This window comes from Homo sapiens, chromosome 10 (genome assembly GCF_000001405.40).
Source record: "Homo sapiens chromosome 10, GRCh38.p14 Primary Assembly".
Lineage (NCBI taxonomy): Eukaryota > Metazoa > Chordata > Mammalia > Primates > Hominidae > Homo > Homo sapiens.
The window spans coordinates 90,070,031-90,087,759 of record NC_000010.11 but is presented as its reverse complement, the minus strand read 5'-3'; the positions used below and the strand labels follow the sequence as shown (position 1 = coordinate 90,087,759).

Below are 17,729 nucleotides of genomic sequence, written 5' to 3'. Positions count from 1 at the left end.
AACCTAGGAACTCTTAATGTGTGGGTCAACCTTAAGGCTCTTTTTCCCTAATGTAAATGTGCACAAAGACCATATTACTTCCATTTTTCTCTGGCAAGTAGAGGTGCCATAAAACCTACAGAGTGATCAAAAGGGGGTCATTCCCCTTGTTTTCTCCTCATTATTTGATTATTTGTTTCCTGCTCTTTTTCTTTCTTTTTTTTTTTTTTTTTTTTTTTTTTCCTTAAAAGGAGGAACTGAGCTATGGCCTATGGTTTTCATGTGGTGGATTGATATGTGCTTTTTGTGGGCAAGGCTCCACAGTGTGTCACCACTGAGTCATTTACACCTTCTTACATGTCTCAGAACTTATATGCGTTTCCTGGATGATTCACTTTCTAAAATCAATTTTTGTTGGGGATTTTCCTGCAGGATCACAGCATGTAGTAGGGGATCAACACCCCAGACTTTCCCACAAGACCCCTGGTCACCCAGGGGTACCTTTTGGCTGGAAGGAGCAAATGCCCTTTTTCTTTAGCACTGGGAAAACTCAGTCTCTCATTAACCCATGAAAACAACAGTTGAGTTCCTCATGCAAATGCTCACAGACAAATCAAATTAAGATTAATTTTGGAAGAAAAAGCAATAGAGAAGGCCCTTTAGAATGCATCTCTGAACTAGAATTAGAATCCATAAACAACAACTTCCTAAAAGAGAAAAGAAAAACAAAACAGCCAAGACCACTTCCTGTTCTCATCCTAATTCTCATCCACCATTATACATGCCAAGGTCAAATTCCCTCACAGTGAAAAGTCATCTCTGGCACTCCAAAAGCCAAAGAGGTCAAATCATGCAATATAGGAAAACAGAGCTTTAGACCTAAAAAGAATTTGCCCATGACTCTTGAAACTCCACAAAGAAAACAAAACACCCCAAAAGGGGGTGAGTGGTGACTTTGTCCTAAATTCTTTAAAGGGGTTCAAGTCATTGTCAGGCCTCTGAGCCCAAGCCAAGCCATCGCATCCCCTGTGACTTGCATCTGGATATGCCCAGATGGCCTGAAGTAACTGAAGAATCACAAAAGAAGTGAATATGCCCTGCCCCACCTTAACTAATGACATTCCACCACAAAAGAAGTGTAAATGGCCGGTCCTTGCCTTAACTGATGACATTACCTTGTGAAAGTCCTTTTCCTGGCTCATCCTGGCTCAAAAAGCACCCCCACTGAGCACCTTGCCACCCCCCATTCCGGCCCACCAGAGAACAAACCCCCTTTGACTGTAATTTTCCTTTACCTACCCAAATCCTATAAAACGGCCCCACCCTTATCTCCCTTCACTGACTCTTTTCGGACTCAGCCTGCCTGCACCCAGGTGAAATAAACAGCCATGTTGCTCACACAAAGCCTGTTTGGTGGTCTCTTCACATGGACACGCATGAAATTTGGTGCCGTGACTCGGATCAGGGGACCTCCCTTGGGAGATCAATCCCCTGTCCTCCTGTTCTTTGCTCTGTGAGAAAGATCCACCTATGACCTCAGGTCCTCAGATCGACCAGCCCAAGGAATATCTCACCAATTTTAAATCAGGTAAGCGGCCTCTTCTCTCTTCTCCAACCTCTCTCACTGTCCCTCAACCACTTTCTTCTTTCCACTCGTCAATCTCTCCCTTCTCTTAATTTCAATTCCTTTCATTTTCTGGGAGAGACAAAGGAGATACGTTTTATCTGTGCACCCAAAACTCCAGTGCCGGTCACGGGCTGGGAAGGCAGCCTTCCCTTGGTGTTTAATCATTGGAGGGACACCTCTCTGATTATTCACCCACGTTTCAAAGGTGTCAGACCACGCAGGGATGCCAGCCTTGGTCCTTCACCCTTAGCAGCAAGTCCCGCTTTTCTGGGGAAGGGGCAAGTACCCCAACCCCTTCTCTCCTTGTCTCTACCCCTTCTCTGCTTTCCTGGGGCAGGGGCAAGTACCCCTCAACCCCTTCTCCTTCACTCTTAGCGGCAAGTCCCGCTTTTCTAGAGGAGGGCAAGTACCCCAACCTCGTATCTCTGTGCCCCAATCCCTTATTTCAGTGCCCCGACCCCTTATTTCCATGCCCCTACCCCTTATTTCTGCACCCCATCCCTTATTTTTGCACCCCAACCTCTTATCTCTGCACCCCAACCCCTTTTCCCACTTTTCTGGAAGGTAAGAACCTCCGAACCCCTTCCCTCTGTTTCTCTACTCTCTCTTTTCTCTAGGCTTGCTTCCTTCATTATAGGCAACCTTCTACCCTCCATTCCTCCTTCTACTCCCTTGGCCTGTGTTCTCAAAAACTTAAAACCTCTTCAACTCACACCTGACCTAAAACCTAAATGCCTTATTTTCTTCTGCAATGCCGCTTGACCCCAATACAAACTCGACAGTAGTTCCAAATAGCCAGAAAATGGCACTTTGAATTTTTCCATCCTGCAAGATCTAAATAATTCTTGTCATAAAATAGGCAAACGGTCTGAGGTGCCTGACGTCCAGGCATTCTTTTACACATCAGTCCCTTCCTAGTCTCTGTGCCCAGTGCAACTCGTCCCAAATCTTCCTTCTTTCCCTCCCGCCTGTCCCCTCAGTACCAACCCCAAGCATCGATGAGTCTTTCTAATCTTCCTTTTCTACACACCCATCTGACCTCTCCCTTCCTCCCCAGGCTGCTCCTCGCCAGGCCGAGCTAGGTCCCAATTCTTCCTCAGCCTCTGCTCCTCCACCCTATAATCTTTTTATCACCTCCCCTCCTCACACCTGCTCTGGCTTACAGTTTCGTTCCGTGACTAGCCCTCCCCAACCTGCCCAGCAATTTACTCTTAAAAAGGTGGCTGGAGCCAAAGGCATAGTCAAGGTTAATGCTCCTTTTTCTTTATCCCATATCAGAAGCGTTTAGGCTCTTTTTCATCAAATATAAAAATCCAGCCCAGTTCATGGCTCGTTTGGCAGCAACCCTGAGATGCTTTACAGCCCTAGACCCTAAAAGGTCAAAAGGCCGTCTTATTCTCACTATACATTTTATTACTCAATCTGCTCCCGACATTAAATAAAACTCCAAAAATTGGAATCTGGCCCTCAAACCCCACAACAGGACTTAATTAACCTCACCTTCAAGGTGTACAATAACAGAAAAAAGTTGCAATTCCTTGCCTCCACTGTGAGACAAACCCCAGCCACATCTCCAGCACACAAGAACTTCCAAACGCCTGAACCGCAGCGGCCAGGCGTTCCTCCAGAACCTCCTCCCACAGGAGCTTGCTACATGTGCCAGAAATCTGGCCACTGGGCCAAGGAATGCCCGCAGCCCAGGATTCCTCCTAAGCCGCGTCCCATCTGTGTAAGACCCCACTGAAAGTCGGACTGTTCAACTCACCTGGCAGCCACTCCCAGAGCCCCTGGAACTCTGGCCCAAGGCTCTCTGACTGACTCCTTCCCAGATCTTCTCGGCTTAGCGGCTGAAGACTGAAACTGCCCGATTGCCTTGGAAGCCCCCTAGAGCATCACGGATGCCGAGCTTCGGGTAACTCTCACAGTGGAAGGTAAGCCCGTCCCCTTCTTAATCAATACAGAGGCTACACACTCCGCATTACCTTCTTTTCAAGGGCCTGTTTCCCTTGCCTCCATAACTGTTGTGGGTATTGACGGCCAGGCTTCTAAACCTCTTAAAACTCCCCAACTCTGGTGCTAACTTAGACAATACTCTTTTAAGCACTCCTTTTTAGTTATCCCCACCTGCCCAGTTCCCTTATTAGGCTGAGACACTTTAACTAAATTACCTGCTTCCCTGACTATTCCTGGACTACAGCTATATCTCATTGCCGCCCTTCTTCCCAATCGAAAGCCTCCTTTGCATCCTCCTCTTGTATCCTCCCACCTTAACCCACAAGTATAAGATACCTCTACGCCCTCCTTGGTGACTGATCATGTACCCATTACCATCTCATTAAAACCTAATCACCCTTACCCCACTGAACGCCAATATCCCATCCCGCAGCACGCTTTAAAAAGATTAAAGCCTGTTATCACTCGTCTGCTACAGCATGGCCTTTTAAAGCCTATAAACTCTCCTTACAATTCCCCCATTTTACCTGTCCTAAAACCAGACAAGCCTTACAAGTTAGTTCAGGATCTGCACCTTATCAACCAAATTGTTTTGCCTATCCACCCCGTGGTGCCAACCCATACACTCTTTTGTCCTCAATACCTTCCTCCACAATTCACTATTCTGTGCTTGACCTTAAAGATGCTTTTTTCACTATTCCCCTGCACCTCTTGTCCCAGCCTCTCTTTGCTTTCACTTAGACTGACCCTGACACCCATCAAGCTCAGCAAATTACCTAGGCTGTTCTGCCGCAAAGCTTCACAGACAGCCCCCATTACTTCAATCAAGCCCAGATTTCTTCCTCATCTGTTACCTATCTCGGCATAATTCTCATAAAAACACAAGTGCTCTCCCTGCCAATCATGTCTGAATGATCTCTCAAACCCAAGCACCTTCTACAAAACAACAACTCCTTTCCTTCCTAGGCATGGTTAGCACAGTCAGAATTCTTACACAAGAGCCAGGACCACACCCTGTAGCCTTTCTGTCCAAACAACTTGACCTTACTGTTTTAGCCTAGCCCTCATGTCTGCATGCAGCGTCTGCCGCTGCTTTGATACTTTTAGAGGCCCTCAAAATCACAAACTATACTCAACTCACTCTCTACAGTTCTCGTGACTTCCAAAATCTATTTTCTTCCTCATACCTGATGCATATACTTTCTGCTCCCCGGCTCCTTCAGCTGTACTCACTCTTTGTTGAGTCTCCTAAAATTACCGTTGTTCCTGGCCCAGACTTCAATCCGGCCTCCCACATTATTCCTGATACCACACCTGACCCCCATGACTGTATCTCTCTGATCCACCTGACATTCACCTCATTTCCCCAAATATCCTTCTTTCCTGTTCCTCACCCTGATCACGCTTGATTTATTGATGGCAGTTCTACCAGGCCTAATCGCCACACACCAGCAAAGGCAGGTTATACTATAGTACTAGCCACTAGCCCGCCTCTTAGAACCCCTCATTTCCTTTCCATCGTGGAAATCTATCCTCAAGGAAATAACTTCTCGGTGTTCCATCTGCTATTCTACTACTCCTCGGGGATTATTCAGGCCCCCTCCCTTCCCTACACATGAAGCTCCAGGATTTGCCCCCACCCAGGACTGGCAAATTAGCTTTACTCAACATGCCCTGAGTCAGATAACTAAAATACCTCTTAGTCTAGGTAGATACTTTCACTGGATAGGTAGAGGCCTTTCCTACAGGGTCTGAGAAGGCCACCGCAGTCATTTCTTCTGTTCTGTCAGACATAATTCCTCAGTTTAGCCTTCCCACCTCAATACAGTCTGATAACAAACGAGCCTTTATTAGTCAAATCAGCCAAGCAGTTTTTCAGGCTCTTAGTATTCAGTGAAACCTTTATATCTCTTATGGTTCTCTGACTTCAAGAAAAGTAGAATGGACTAAAGGTCTTTTAAAAACACACCTCACCAAGCTCAGCCACCAACTTAAAAAGGACTGGACAATACTTTTACCAATTTCCCTTCTCAGAATTCAGGCCTGTCCTCGGAATGCTACAGGGTACAGCCCATTTAAGCTCCTGTATAGACGCTCCTTTTTATTAGGCCCCAGTCTCATTCCAGACACCAGACCAACTTAGACTGTGCCCCAAAAAACTTGTCATCCCTACTATCTTCTGTCTAGTCATACTCCTATTCACCGTTCTCAACTACTCATACATGCCCTGCTCTTGTTTACACTGCCGGTTTACACTGCTTCTCCAAGCCATCACAGCTGATATCTCCTGGTGCTATCCCCAAACTGCCACTCTTAACTCTTGAAGTAAATAAATAATCTTTGCTGGCAGGAATATGCTGAATCACCTTAGGCACTCTCTAATCAGATATCCTGAGTCGTCCCAATTCTTAGACCTTTTATACCTGTTTTTCTCCTTCTGTTATTCCATTTAGTTTCTTAATTCATCCAAAACCGTATCTAGGCCATCACCAATCATTCTATACAACAAACGTTTCTTCTAACATCCCCACAATATCACCCCTTACCACAAGACCTCCTTTCAGCTTAATCTCTCCCACTCTAGGTTCCCACACCGCCCCTAATCCCGCTTGAAGCAGCCCTGAGAAACACCGCCCATTCTCTCTCCATACCACCCCCCAAAAATTTTCACCGCCCCAACACTTCAACACTATTTTGTTTTATTTTTCTTATTAATATAAGAAGGCAGGAATGTCAGGCCTCTGAGCCCAAGCCAAGCCATCGCATCCCCTGTGACTTGCACATGTATGCCCAGATGGCCTGAAGTAACTGAAGAATCACAAAAGAAGTGAATATGCCCTGCCCCACATTAACTGATGACAGTCCACCACAAAAGAAGTGTAAATGGCCGGTCCTTGCCTTAACTGATGACATTACCTTGTGAAAGTCCTTTTCCTGGCTCATCCTGGCTCAAAAAGCACCCCCACTGAGCACCTTGCGACCCCCCACTCCTGCCTGCCAGAGAACAAACCCCCTTTAACTGTAATTTTCCTTTACCTACCCAAATCCTATAAAACGGCCCCACCCTTATCTCCCTTCACTGACTCTCTTTTTGGACTCAGCCTGCCTGCACCCAGGTGAAATAAACAGCCATGTTGCTCACACAAAGCCTGTTTAGTGACCTCTTCACACGGACGTGTATGAAAGTCATTAGAAGCTTTCTCTAGAATTTTTGATACTTCAGATGGCAAAGGGGGAAGGAGGTATAGGGTGGAAGAAAAGTAAACAAAAGAACAATTTTTTTTTTTTTAAAGAAAGGAAGCGAACACAGAAACCAAACACATGGTTTTCTTGTTTTCTCTCTTTGTTTAATTTTGCAGCTATGAGGAATTTTAGCCAAATTAGAGAGGGCTTGTTACCCATCATTTGCAATTCTCACTTGGATTTGTCCAAGTCAGATAGAGTTGATGAAATCTGATGGGAGAAAGACTGGAACAAACAACAACAACAAAGCCCAACAATATGATCACTGAGTGCTCCAATGATAAGCTGGTTGTTGAACTTTAGCCAAGACAAAACCACAATTCAGCTACTTACCCAGAGATGGATCTTAGGCTGAAGACTGCTTTCTACCATTGTAGAAGCAGGAAAAATACTCCAACTCGTCTTCCCAGCTGGGAGCGAGCTCAAACTCCATAAAGGAGTTACCTGCTTTCCATTGTCTTGGAAACAGGAAATCTTGCCTTCCTTGTTGGAAGCAAGAAAAACAAAAGGAGTATACAGCAAAATAAACTTTAGATCTTGACCAAATTTTTGGAGATCAGGGATTCTCTGGAAGGGTTGCTCCCTGACCTCAGCAAATTGTCCTATTGGTTTGAGCTATAAAGTTAGCTCATGCTGGTACGAAGAACCGATAGGAGATTTGTCAGAAGTCAGGGGCATCTCCACTCAGAATCCCTCCATGGTTACCAAATGTGAACCCCCAAAATTTGAGACAGGTCTCAGTTAATTTAGAAAGTTTATTTTGCCAAAGTTGAGGATGCATGCCTGTGACACAGCCTCAGGAGGTCCTGACAACATGTGCTCAAAGTAGTCAGAGCACAGCTTGGTTTTATACATTTTAGGGAGACAGGAGACATCAATCAACATATATAACAATGGTTCAGTCTGGAAAGGCGGGACAACTCAAAACAAAAGTGGGACAACTCAAAGCGGGGAGGGTCCAGGTCACAGGTTGGTGAGAGACAAATGGTTGCATTCTTCTGAGTTTCTGATTAGCCTTTCAAAGGAGGCAATTAGACATGCATTTATCTCAGTGAGCAGAAGGATGACTTTTAATAGAATGGGAGGCAGGTTTACCCTAAGCAGTTTCCAGCTTGAATTTTCCCTTTAACTTAGTGATTTTGGGGGCCCAAGATATTTTCCTTTCACACAGCAATGTCAATCATTTTCAGGTTTCAAGAGCTCTATGAAATGTCTACTTATCCTGTAAAATCCTGTTGGTTCTTCCAATAACCAACTATATTTGTCTTCTCCTTGAGTGGTATGAAGGCAGGGGTGGTTTTAGACAAGCTTGATCGCTGCAGTGGCATAGCATATAATAGGGGTACAACATGATCAGGCTCACAAACATCATATCATCCATGCTCAACTTCACCTGAAAGTGGACAGCTGAACCAAAAAGAAAACAAATACAATTCAGGTACTATCCCTCACAGGGGCAGGGAGAAATAGTTCTCTCTCCATTCATTTTCCCACCTGTAAAACAAGAGTGGTGGAGACCAGCCTGGGCAACATAATGACACTTTGTGTCTACTACATTTTTTTAAATTAACCAGGCATAGTAGTTCATGACTGCAGTCCCAGCTACTCAGGAGGCTGAGGTGGGAGGATCTCTTGAGCCCGGGAGACCAAAGCTGCAGTGAGCCATGATTGCACCACTGCACTCCAGCCTGAGTGACAGAGAGAAACCCTTTCTTAAAAAAAAAAAGTGATAGATCAATAATGTTTCTCAGGCATTTCCAGGTTTTTATTTCTATAGAGGTTTATTTCTCTAGTTTCATTTCAATTCTCTTTTTGTTAGCCCTTTGAAATTCAGACTTAATCTCTTCTTTGATGTCACTATATTTTGTAAGCATGACAATGAAGCAAAATTTCTTCATTGTGCTTGCTTTATTTAATGGTAGGCAAGGAAGCAGTTAATGCACAGCTGAGAGAAACCTGAATTCCAAGTGCACCCGGTCTGGCATGACATTACTGTGCCTTTTCCTAGATTCCACAGTCAGTAGAGAAAACAGACTGGGTATATGGGCACAGAGCTTCTCTCTAGGACAGGGAATAATCTACCAGTCTATTCTAGACATTAATTTACCTTGCCTGGGTATCAGTGTGCCTTTAAGTGAATATCGAACTGTATAACTTCCAGGGAAATTTGAGCTTCAACAGTCTATGATTCTAAGTTGACTTCACCATTTTTGGACTATTTTAGTTCCATGGGATATGGTAACACTTCTAAGCACTTGCCTATCAGCCTAAAGCTTGAGTCCTTCAGAGCCAGAGAAAGAAGAGGTTTCACTCTTTGGGTAATGCTTTTGAAAACTTTTAGCCAAAGATTTAAATCAGGCTTATCATAGACTGACTCTGGGGTCAGAAAAATCTAGTTTACTCTCATGGATGTAAACTGAAATCATGAGGGTATTTTCAGCAAGCCTATCTCTCCAAAATTATCAAGTCACACATTCTAATTAGGATAACATGGTTTTGTTTTGTTTTTGTATTTATTTCCAGAATCAGCTGCCTTATATCTGAATGGCTTATGAATAAATACAAATTAAAAATAAGAAGCTTAATTCTCCCAGTTGAAAATAAGGAAATAGAGTTCTTCCACTTTCCTTTTTTTAAATTTTCTTCAGAAAACATGTAGTTGCAAGTTCCTTTGTCAGCTTTATCACCTGAAAGCCATCCCTTTGAAATCAAAGGAAATAGAACCCCTAACTCCCAGTTTCTGTGAGAGTGTAGGGGCCTAACTTCAGTAGCCCCTTGCTCCAAGTATTAAAACTACCTCTGGCAATAAAGATAAAGGAATTTGTTTTTCCTCTAAAGAAAGCCAATTAGCTACCACAGATGGTCACCCCAATTACCAGGTGAATTTAAGACGAACTATGTGTGACAAATGGTGCACTCAAGTTCTTTTACTTGAGAACACAGTATTGTTTATTGTGAAAGCATGTCTGTAATGGGTTGTATCTGTTTGGCTCTTTTTTTTTTTTTTTTTTTTTTTTTTGAGATGGAGTCTCACTTTGTCACCAGGTTGGAATGCGAAGCATGATATCGGCTCGCTCCAACCTCTGTCTCCTGGGTTCAAGCGATTCTTCTGCCTCAGCCTCCCGAGTAGCTGGGACTACGGGTGCATGCCACCACGCCCAGCTAATTTTTTGTGTTTTTAGTAGAGACAGGGTTTCACCATGTTGGCCAGGATGGTCTCGATCTCTTGACCTCATGATCCACATGCCTCGGCCTCCCAAAGTGCTGTGATTACAGGTGTGAGCCACCGCGCCCAGCCCTATTTGGCTTTTTTTAAACGTGAGCTTTCATTCAGTCTGCCATCTCTGGATGAATTGCCCATGTTGCCAGATTACATTCTGGTCTTTTACTTATTAATAATAAAACTATTTACTTTTACTTTCTCTACTATTTTGTGGAGAGGTAGTGTGGGTTGGAAGAAGATTTTTTTTTTAATTATATTTCCACAACAATGGGTATTCTAAATTGGTAGTTTTCAAACCTTTCTAGAAGTGTCTACCAGACTGCTGTAGGAGAGAAAGGCAGAAGAGGATTGCAACATGAGTGACCTCTGAATGTTGCATCTACCAGAAAGTATTCTTTTTGCTGTTTTATATATTGGTATTCTAGGAAATTTTTGCCTAAGATCAGGGTTCCTCTGATAAACAATAATGTTTCAAAACCAGTGACCTGTTTATACCATATGTTTTTATTCTCTATTTCCCTCCAATAATGTAAACTTTTTGAGAGCAGTTATTTTGTTTCTATATGCACTGTTAACTTCCCCAAAACTTAGAAGAGTCCCTGGGACATAGTAGATGCATATTTACCTTGTGTTAAATTAATGAATGATGAAGGGTAGGCAGAACAAAGTGACTGAATAGAAGCCCACAGCAATCATCCCCCGAACAGGAACACCAAATTGAACAACTATGAAGAAAATCAACTTCATAAGAACCTATGATCAGGTGAGTGATCACAGTACCTGCTTTTAACATCATATTAAGGAAAGAGGCACTGAAGAGGGTAGAAAAGACAAGCTTGAAGCAGCAGTGGCCACTTAGCATGGTGAGAGAATCTGTGCATTTGGGGCAAGGAGAGTGCACTTATTGTGAGACTTCACATTGGAACTCAATGCTGCTCTGTCACAGTGGAAAGCAACATAGGGCAGAACTCAGTCGGCATTCACAAAGCATCTAGATGAGTCCCAGCCAGAGGGGAATTGCCCACCCCAGTGGTTGGAACTTGAGTTTCAGCAAGCTCACCACTGTGAACTAAAGTGCTTGGGATACTAAATAAACTTGAAAAGCAATCTATGACACAAGGACTGCAGTCCCTGGGCAAGCATCAGTGCTGTGCTAAGCTCGAAGCCAGCACACCTGGACTTGGAATGTGAGTGGCCTAGTGAGACACCAGCCAGGGCAGCCAAGGGACTGCTTGCACCACCTCTCCACCACCCACAGATAGTGAAGCTCACAGCTCCAGGAGAGACTCCTTCTTTCTCCTGTACTCCTTCAAGAGAGGAGAAGGGAGAGTAAAGAGACCTTTGCCTTAAAACTTAGATATCAGCTTAGCTACAGTACAATAGGGCATCTAGTAGAGTTCCGAAGCCCCCATTCCAGGTTCTATTTCCAAGGCAACATTCCTAGACATACTCTGGTCCAGAAGAAAACCTGCTGTCTTGAAGGGAAGAACCTACTCCTGGAAGGATTCGTCACCTATTGACTAAACAGTCCTTGGGCCCTGAATCATCAGAAGCTGTAGCCAGGCAGTATTTGCCACAGGCCTTGGGTGAGATTCTAAGACATGCTGGCTTCAGGTGTGACCCAGCACATTCCCAGCTGTGGTGGCTGTGGGGAGAGACTCCTTCTGCTTGAGGAAAAAGGAGAAGGAAAGGTAAAGGGGACTTTGTCTTGAAGTTCAGGCACCAGCTTGGCCTCAGCAGAGTAAAGCACCAAGCAGGCTCCTGAAGCCCCTAATCCCAGGCCTTGGTTCCTGAATGGCATTTCTGGATCTGCCCTGGACCAGAAGGAAGCCCACTGCCCTGAAGGAGTAGTCCCAGGCCTGAAGCATTTACCACAACCTGACGGAAGAGCTCTTGGGCCATGAGTGAACATCAGCAGTAGCCAGGCAGCACTTGCTGCGGGCCTGGGGTGATGGTTGCCATGGAGAGAAAATCCTCTGCTTGAGGAAAGGAGGGGGAAGAGTGAGAAGGACTTTCTCTCTTGGCTAGGATGCCAGCTCAGCCACAGTAAAATAGAGCACAAGGTAGACTTCCTAAGGTTCTCGACTCTAGGCCCAGCCTCCCAAAAGGCATCTCTGGACCAACCTGTGGCTGAACTCACCACCCTGAAGGGAAGGACATAAGCCTGGCTGGATTTGCCACCTGCTAATTATAGAGAACATGGGCCTTCAATGAATATAGGTAGTAGTCATCAGTGGTCACTGTGAGCCTTGGGCAAGACCAAATTCTGGCTGCAGGTCTGACCCAGCATGGTCCCAGTGGAGTTGATCACAAGAGTGCCTGTGTCATCCTTCTTCCAACCTCAGGCAGCTCAGTACAGAGAGAAAGATTCCATTTGCTTGGGAAAAAGTAAAGGAAGATAACAAGAGTCTCTTCCCGGTGAGCCAGGGAATTCTCCTGGATCTTACCCAAGACCACCAAGATATACCTCTATGAGTCTTCCAGAGCCACAGAATTACTGGGCTTAGGATGCCCCCTAACATAGAGATGGCTATAGTGACCAAAGACTTAGATTACAACAACCAAGTTTCTTTGAATATATGGAAAGCCTTCCCAAGAAGAACAAGCACAAACAAGCACAGACTGCAAAGACTACAATAAATATCTAGCTCTTTAATGCCCAGACACAAATGAACATTCATAAGCTCAAGACTATTCAGGAAAACATGACCTCACAAAACAAACTAAATGAGGCATTAGTGACCAATCCTGGAGAGACAGAGATATGTGACCTTTCAGATAGAGAATTAAAAAGAGCTGTTTTGAGAAAACTCAATGAAATTAAAGATAGCGCAGAAAAGAAATTCAAACTTCTATCAGATATATTTAACAAAGATATTGAAATTTTTTTAAATCAAGCAGAAATTCTAGAGCTGAAAAATGCAATTGACATACTGAAGAATGCACCAGACTCTCTTTACAGTACAGTTGATCAAGCAGAAGAAATAGTTAATGAGCTTGAAGACAGGCTATTTGAAAATTCAGTCAGAGAAGACAAAAGAATAAGAAAGAATAAAGCACATCCACGAGATGTAGAAAATAGCCCCAAAATGGCAAATCTAAGAGTTATTGGCTTTAAAGAGGAGGTAGAGAGAGAGAAAGATTGGGATGGAAAGTTTATTTAAATGGATAAGAACAGAGAATTTTCCAAACCTACAGAAAGATATCAATATCCAAGTACAAGAAGGTAATAAAATGCCAAGCAGATTTAACCCAAATAAGACTATCTCAAGACATTTAATAATCCTTGACCCAAATGTCAAGGATAAAGAAAGGGTCTTAAAAACAGCAAGAGAAAATAAGCAAATAACATACAATGGAGCTCCAATACATCTGGCAGCAGAATTTTTAGTGGAAACCTCACAGGCCATGAGAGAGTGGCATGACATATTTAAAGTGCTGGGGGTGGAGGGGGGAACAACTTTCATCCTAGAAAAGTATATAAGTGAAAATATACTTCAAACATGAAGGAGAAATAAAGACTTTCCCAGGGAAACAAAAGCTGAGGCATTTCATCAACACCAGATCTGTCCTACAAGAAATGCTAAAGGGAGTTCTTCAATCTGAAATAAAAAGACATTAACAAGCAATAGAAAATCATCTGAAGGTACAAAATTCACTAAGTACACAGAAAAGCACAGAATATTTTAACAGTGTTGCTGGGGTGTGTATACAACTTATATCATGAGTAGAAAGAATAAAAGATGGACCTATCAAAAATAATAACTACATTATTTTTCAAGACATAGTATAAAGACAAAAATAGAAACAACAAAGAATTGAAAAGTGGGGTGAAGAAGGTAGGGTTTTCATTAGTTTTCTCTTTGCTTGTTTATTAGTTTGTGTATTCAGTGTTGTGTTGTCATCAGATTAAAATAACAGACTATATGATATTATTTGTAAGCCTCATAGTAATCTCAAATCAAGAAACATACAAGAGTTACACAAAAAAATAAAAAGGAAGAAATTAAAACATACCAGCAAAGAAAATCACCTTCATAAACGGAAGACAGGAAGGAAGGAAACAAGAGAAGACCACAAAAAACTAAAAAAAGAAAAACAAAATGTCAGAAGTAGGTCCTCACTTATCATAACGTTGGATATAGATGGACTGACTCTCCAATAAAAATTCATAGTGTGGCTGAATGAAAAATAAAAAAGACCCAACAATTTATTGCCTGTAAGAAACACATTTCACCTATAAAGACACACATAGACTGAAAATAAAGAAGTGGAAAAAGACATTCTATGCTAATGGAAACCCAAAAAAGAGCAGGAGTAGCTACACTTACATTAGACAAAATAGATGTCAAGACAAAAACTATAAAAGGAGACAAAAAGTCAGAATATAATGATAACTGGGCCAATTCAACAAAAGGATATGATAATTGTAAACATATATAAATTATAAAAATTATAAACTCTAATAATATTTGCTTTATATATCTGAGTGCACCCAACACTGGAACATCCAGATATATAAAGCAAATATTATTAGAATTAAAGAGAGAGATAATCTCTAATAGAATAATAGCTACAGACTTCAACACCCCACTTTCAGCTTTAGACCAATCATCCAGAGAGAAAATCAACAAAGAAACATTTGGCTTAATCTGTGCTATAGACCAAATGGACCTAATAGATATTTACAGAACATTTCATCCAATAGCTTCACAATACACATTCTTCTCCTCAGCACATGGATCATTGTCAAGGATAGACCATATTTTAAGCCACAAAACAAGACACGACAAAAAGTTGAAATAGTATCAAGTATCTTCTCTGACCACAGTGGAATCAAATTAGAAATCAATAACAAGAGGAATTTTGGAAAGTATACAAACACATGAATATTAAATAACATGCTCCTGAATGACCAGTTAGTCATTGAAAAAAATAAGAAGGAAATCTAAAAATTTTTAGAAATGAAGAAATACAGAAACACAACTATACCAAAACCTATGGGATACCGTGAAGGCCGTATTAAGATGAAAGTTTATAACAATAAGCACCTACACCAAAAAGGTAGGAAAAACTTAAAATAAACAAGTTAACTATACATTTTAAAGAACTAAAAAAGCAAGTGCAAATCAAACCCAAAATTAAGTAGAAGTAAAGAAATAACAAAACTCAGAGCTGAAATAAATGAAATTTAAACAAAAACAATAAAAAGATCAACAAAACAAAAAAAGCATTATTTTTGAAGAGACAAACAAACTTTACAAAACTTTAGCCAAACTAAGAAAAAAAGAAAGAAGATCCAAATAAATAAAATCAAAGATGAAAAAATAGACATTACAACAGATACCACAGAAATTCAAAAGATCATTAGAGACTACTATGAGCAACTATAGGCCAATACATTGGAAACCTAGAGGAAATGAATGAACTCCCGGACACATATGAAGAAATCCAAAACCTAAACAGACTGAAAACAATAATGTTGAAACCATAATAAAAGCCCTCCCTGCAAGGCGGAGGTTGTAGTGAAACGAGATCGTGCCACTGCACTCCAGCTTGGCGACAGAGCAAAGACCCCATCTCAAAAAAAAAAAAAAAAAGTCACCCTGCAAAAAAGCTTGGGACCTGATGGCATCACTACTGTATTCTACCAAATATTTAAAGAAGTAATACCAATCCTAGGGAAACCATTTCAAAAAATAAAAAACAAAGAAATACTTCAAAACTCATTCTGAGACCAGCATTATCCTGATACCAAAACCAAAGACACGTCAAAAAAAGAAAACTACCAGCCAATAACTCTGATGAATATTGACGCAAAAATCCCCAACAAAATACTAGCAACCGTAATTAAACAAAACATTAAAAAGGTCATTCATTATGACTAAATGGGATTTATCCCAAGGATGCAAGAATGGTTCAACATACACAAATCAATCAATGTGATGCATCATATCAGCAGAATGAAGGACAAAAACCATATGAGCATGTCAATTAATGCTGAAAAATGGGCCAGGCACAGTGGCTCATGCCTATAATCCCAGCACTTTGGGAAGCCAAGGTGGGTGGATCACTTGAACTCAGGAGTTTGAGACCAACCTGGCTGACATGGTGAAACCCCATCTCTACTAAAAATACAAAAAAAAAATTAGCTGGGTATGGTGGAAGGTGCTGGAGGGTGCCTGTAATCCCAGCTACTCTGGAGGCTGAGGCAGAAAAATCACTTGAACCTGGATGGTGGAGGTTGCAGTGAGCCGAGATCATTCTACTGTGCTCCAACCTGGGGGACAAGGTGAGACTCTGTCTCAAAAAAAAAAAAAAAAAATCCTGAAAAAGCATTTGATAAAATTTAACATGCCTTCATGATAAAAAACCCTCAAAAACCTGGGAATGGGTCAGACATGGTGGCTTACACCTGTAATCCCAGCACTTTGAGAGGCCGAGGTGGGCAGATCACCTAAGGTCAGGAGTTCGAGATCAGCCTGGCCACATGGTGAAACTCTCGTTTCTACTAAAAATACAAAAATTAGACAGGCATGGTGGTGCACACCTGTAATCCCAGCAACTTGGGAGGCTGAGATAGGAGAATCGCTTCCACCCAGAAGGCAGAGGTTGCAGTGAGTGGAGCTCGCACCAGCTGCACTCCAGCCTGAATGACAAGAGCGAAACTCTGTCTTAAAAAAAAAAAAAAAAAAAAAAAAAAAAAGAAGAAGAAGAAAAGAAAACCTGGGTATAGAAGGAACCTACCTCAGCATAATAAAAAAGACACACAGCTGGTATCATACTGAAGGGGGAAAAACTGAAAGCCTTTCCTCTAAGATCTGGAACAAGACAAGAATACTTACTTTCACCACTGTTATTCAACACAGTACTAGAAGTCCTAGTTAGAACAATCAGACAAGAGAAAGAAATAAAGAGCATCCAAACTAGAAAGGAAAAAGTCAAATTATCTTTGCCTGCAAATGATATAATCTTATATTTGGAAAAGCCTAAAGACCATCAAAAAACTATTAGAACTGATAAACAAATTCAGTAAAGTTGCAGGATGAAAAATCAACATTAAAAATAAGTTAACATTTCTATATGCCAACAGTGAACAATCTGAAAAAAAAAAAAAAAAAGAAAGTCTATTTACAATAGCTACAAATGAAATAAAACATTTAGGAATTAACCAAAGAAGTTAACAATCTTTACAATGAAAACTATAAGACACTGATGCAAGAAATTAAAGAGGACACAAAAAAGTTGAGTTATTCTATGTTCATGGATTGGAAGAATCAATATTGTTAAAATGCCCATACTACCCAAAGGAATCTACAGATTCAGTGCAATCCCTATCAAAATAACAATGGCATTCCTTATAGAAATAGAAAAAATAACCCTAAAATTTATACAGAGCCACAAAATACCTAGAATGGCCAAAGCCATCCTGAGCAAAAAGAACAAAACTGGAGGGATCACGTTACTTAATTTCAAATTATACTACAAAGCTAGAGTAAACAAAACAGCGTAGTACTGGCATAAAAAACACACAGACCAATGGAACAGGATACAGAACACAAAAATAAATCCACACATCTACAGTGAGCTCATTTTTGACAAAGTTGCCATGAATATGTATTGTGGAAAGGACAGTCTCTGCAGTTAATGATGCTGGGAAAACTGGGTATCCATATACAAAAGAATGAAACTTGACCCCCATCT

General features: G+C 41.7%; 3 annotated features.

The window, feature by feature from the left end:
- Positions 279-368: a silencer, noted in NCBI's record as "silent region_2599". NCBI's record gives its function as "represses an Ori minimal core promoter by ATAC-STARR-seq in GM12878 lymphoblastoid cells {active_cell/tissue: GM12878}" and the evidence as "EXISTENCE:reporter gene assay evidence [ECO:0000049][PMID:35858748]".
- Positions 749-1,428: an enhancer, noted in NCBI's record as "OCT4-NANOG-H3K27ac hESC enhancer chr10:91846089-91846768 (GRCh37/hg19 assembly coordinates)". NCBI's record gives its function as "activates a minimal SCP1, AML or CMV promoter by ChIP-STARR-seq in naive H9 embryonic stem cells {active_cell/tissue: H9 hESC(naive)}" and the evidence as "EXISTENCE:reporter gene assay evidence [ECO:0000049][PMID:30033119]".
- Positions 5,945-6,728: an enhancer, noted in NCBI's record as "OCT4-NANOG-H3K27ac hESC enhancer chr10:91840789-91841572 (GRCh37/hg19 assembly coordinates)". NCBI's record gives its function as "activates a minimal SCP1, AML or CMV promoter by ChIP-STARR-seq in naive H9 embryonic stem cells {active_cell/tissue: H9 hESC(naive)}" and the evidence as "EXISTENCE:reporter gene assay evidence [ECO:0000049][PMID:30033119]".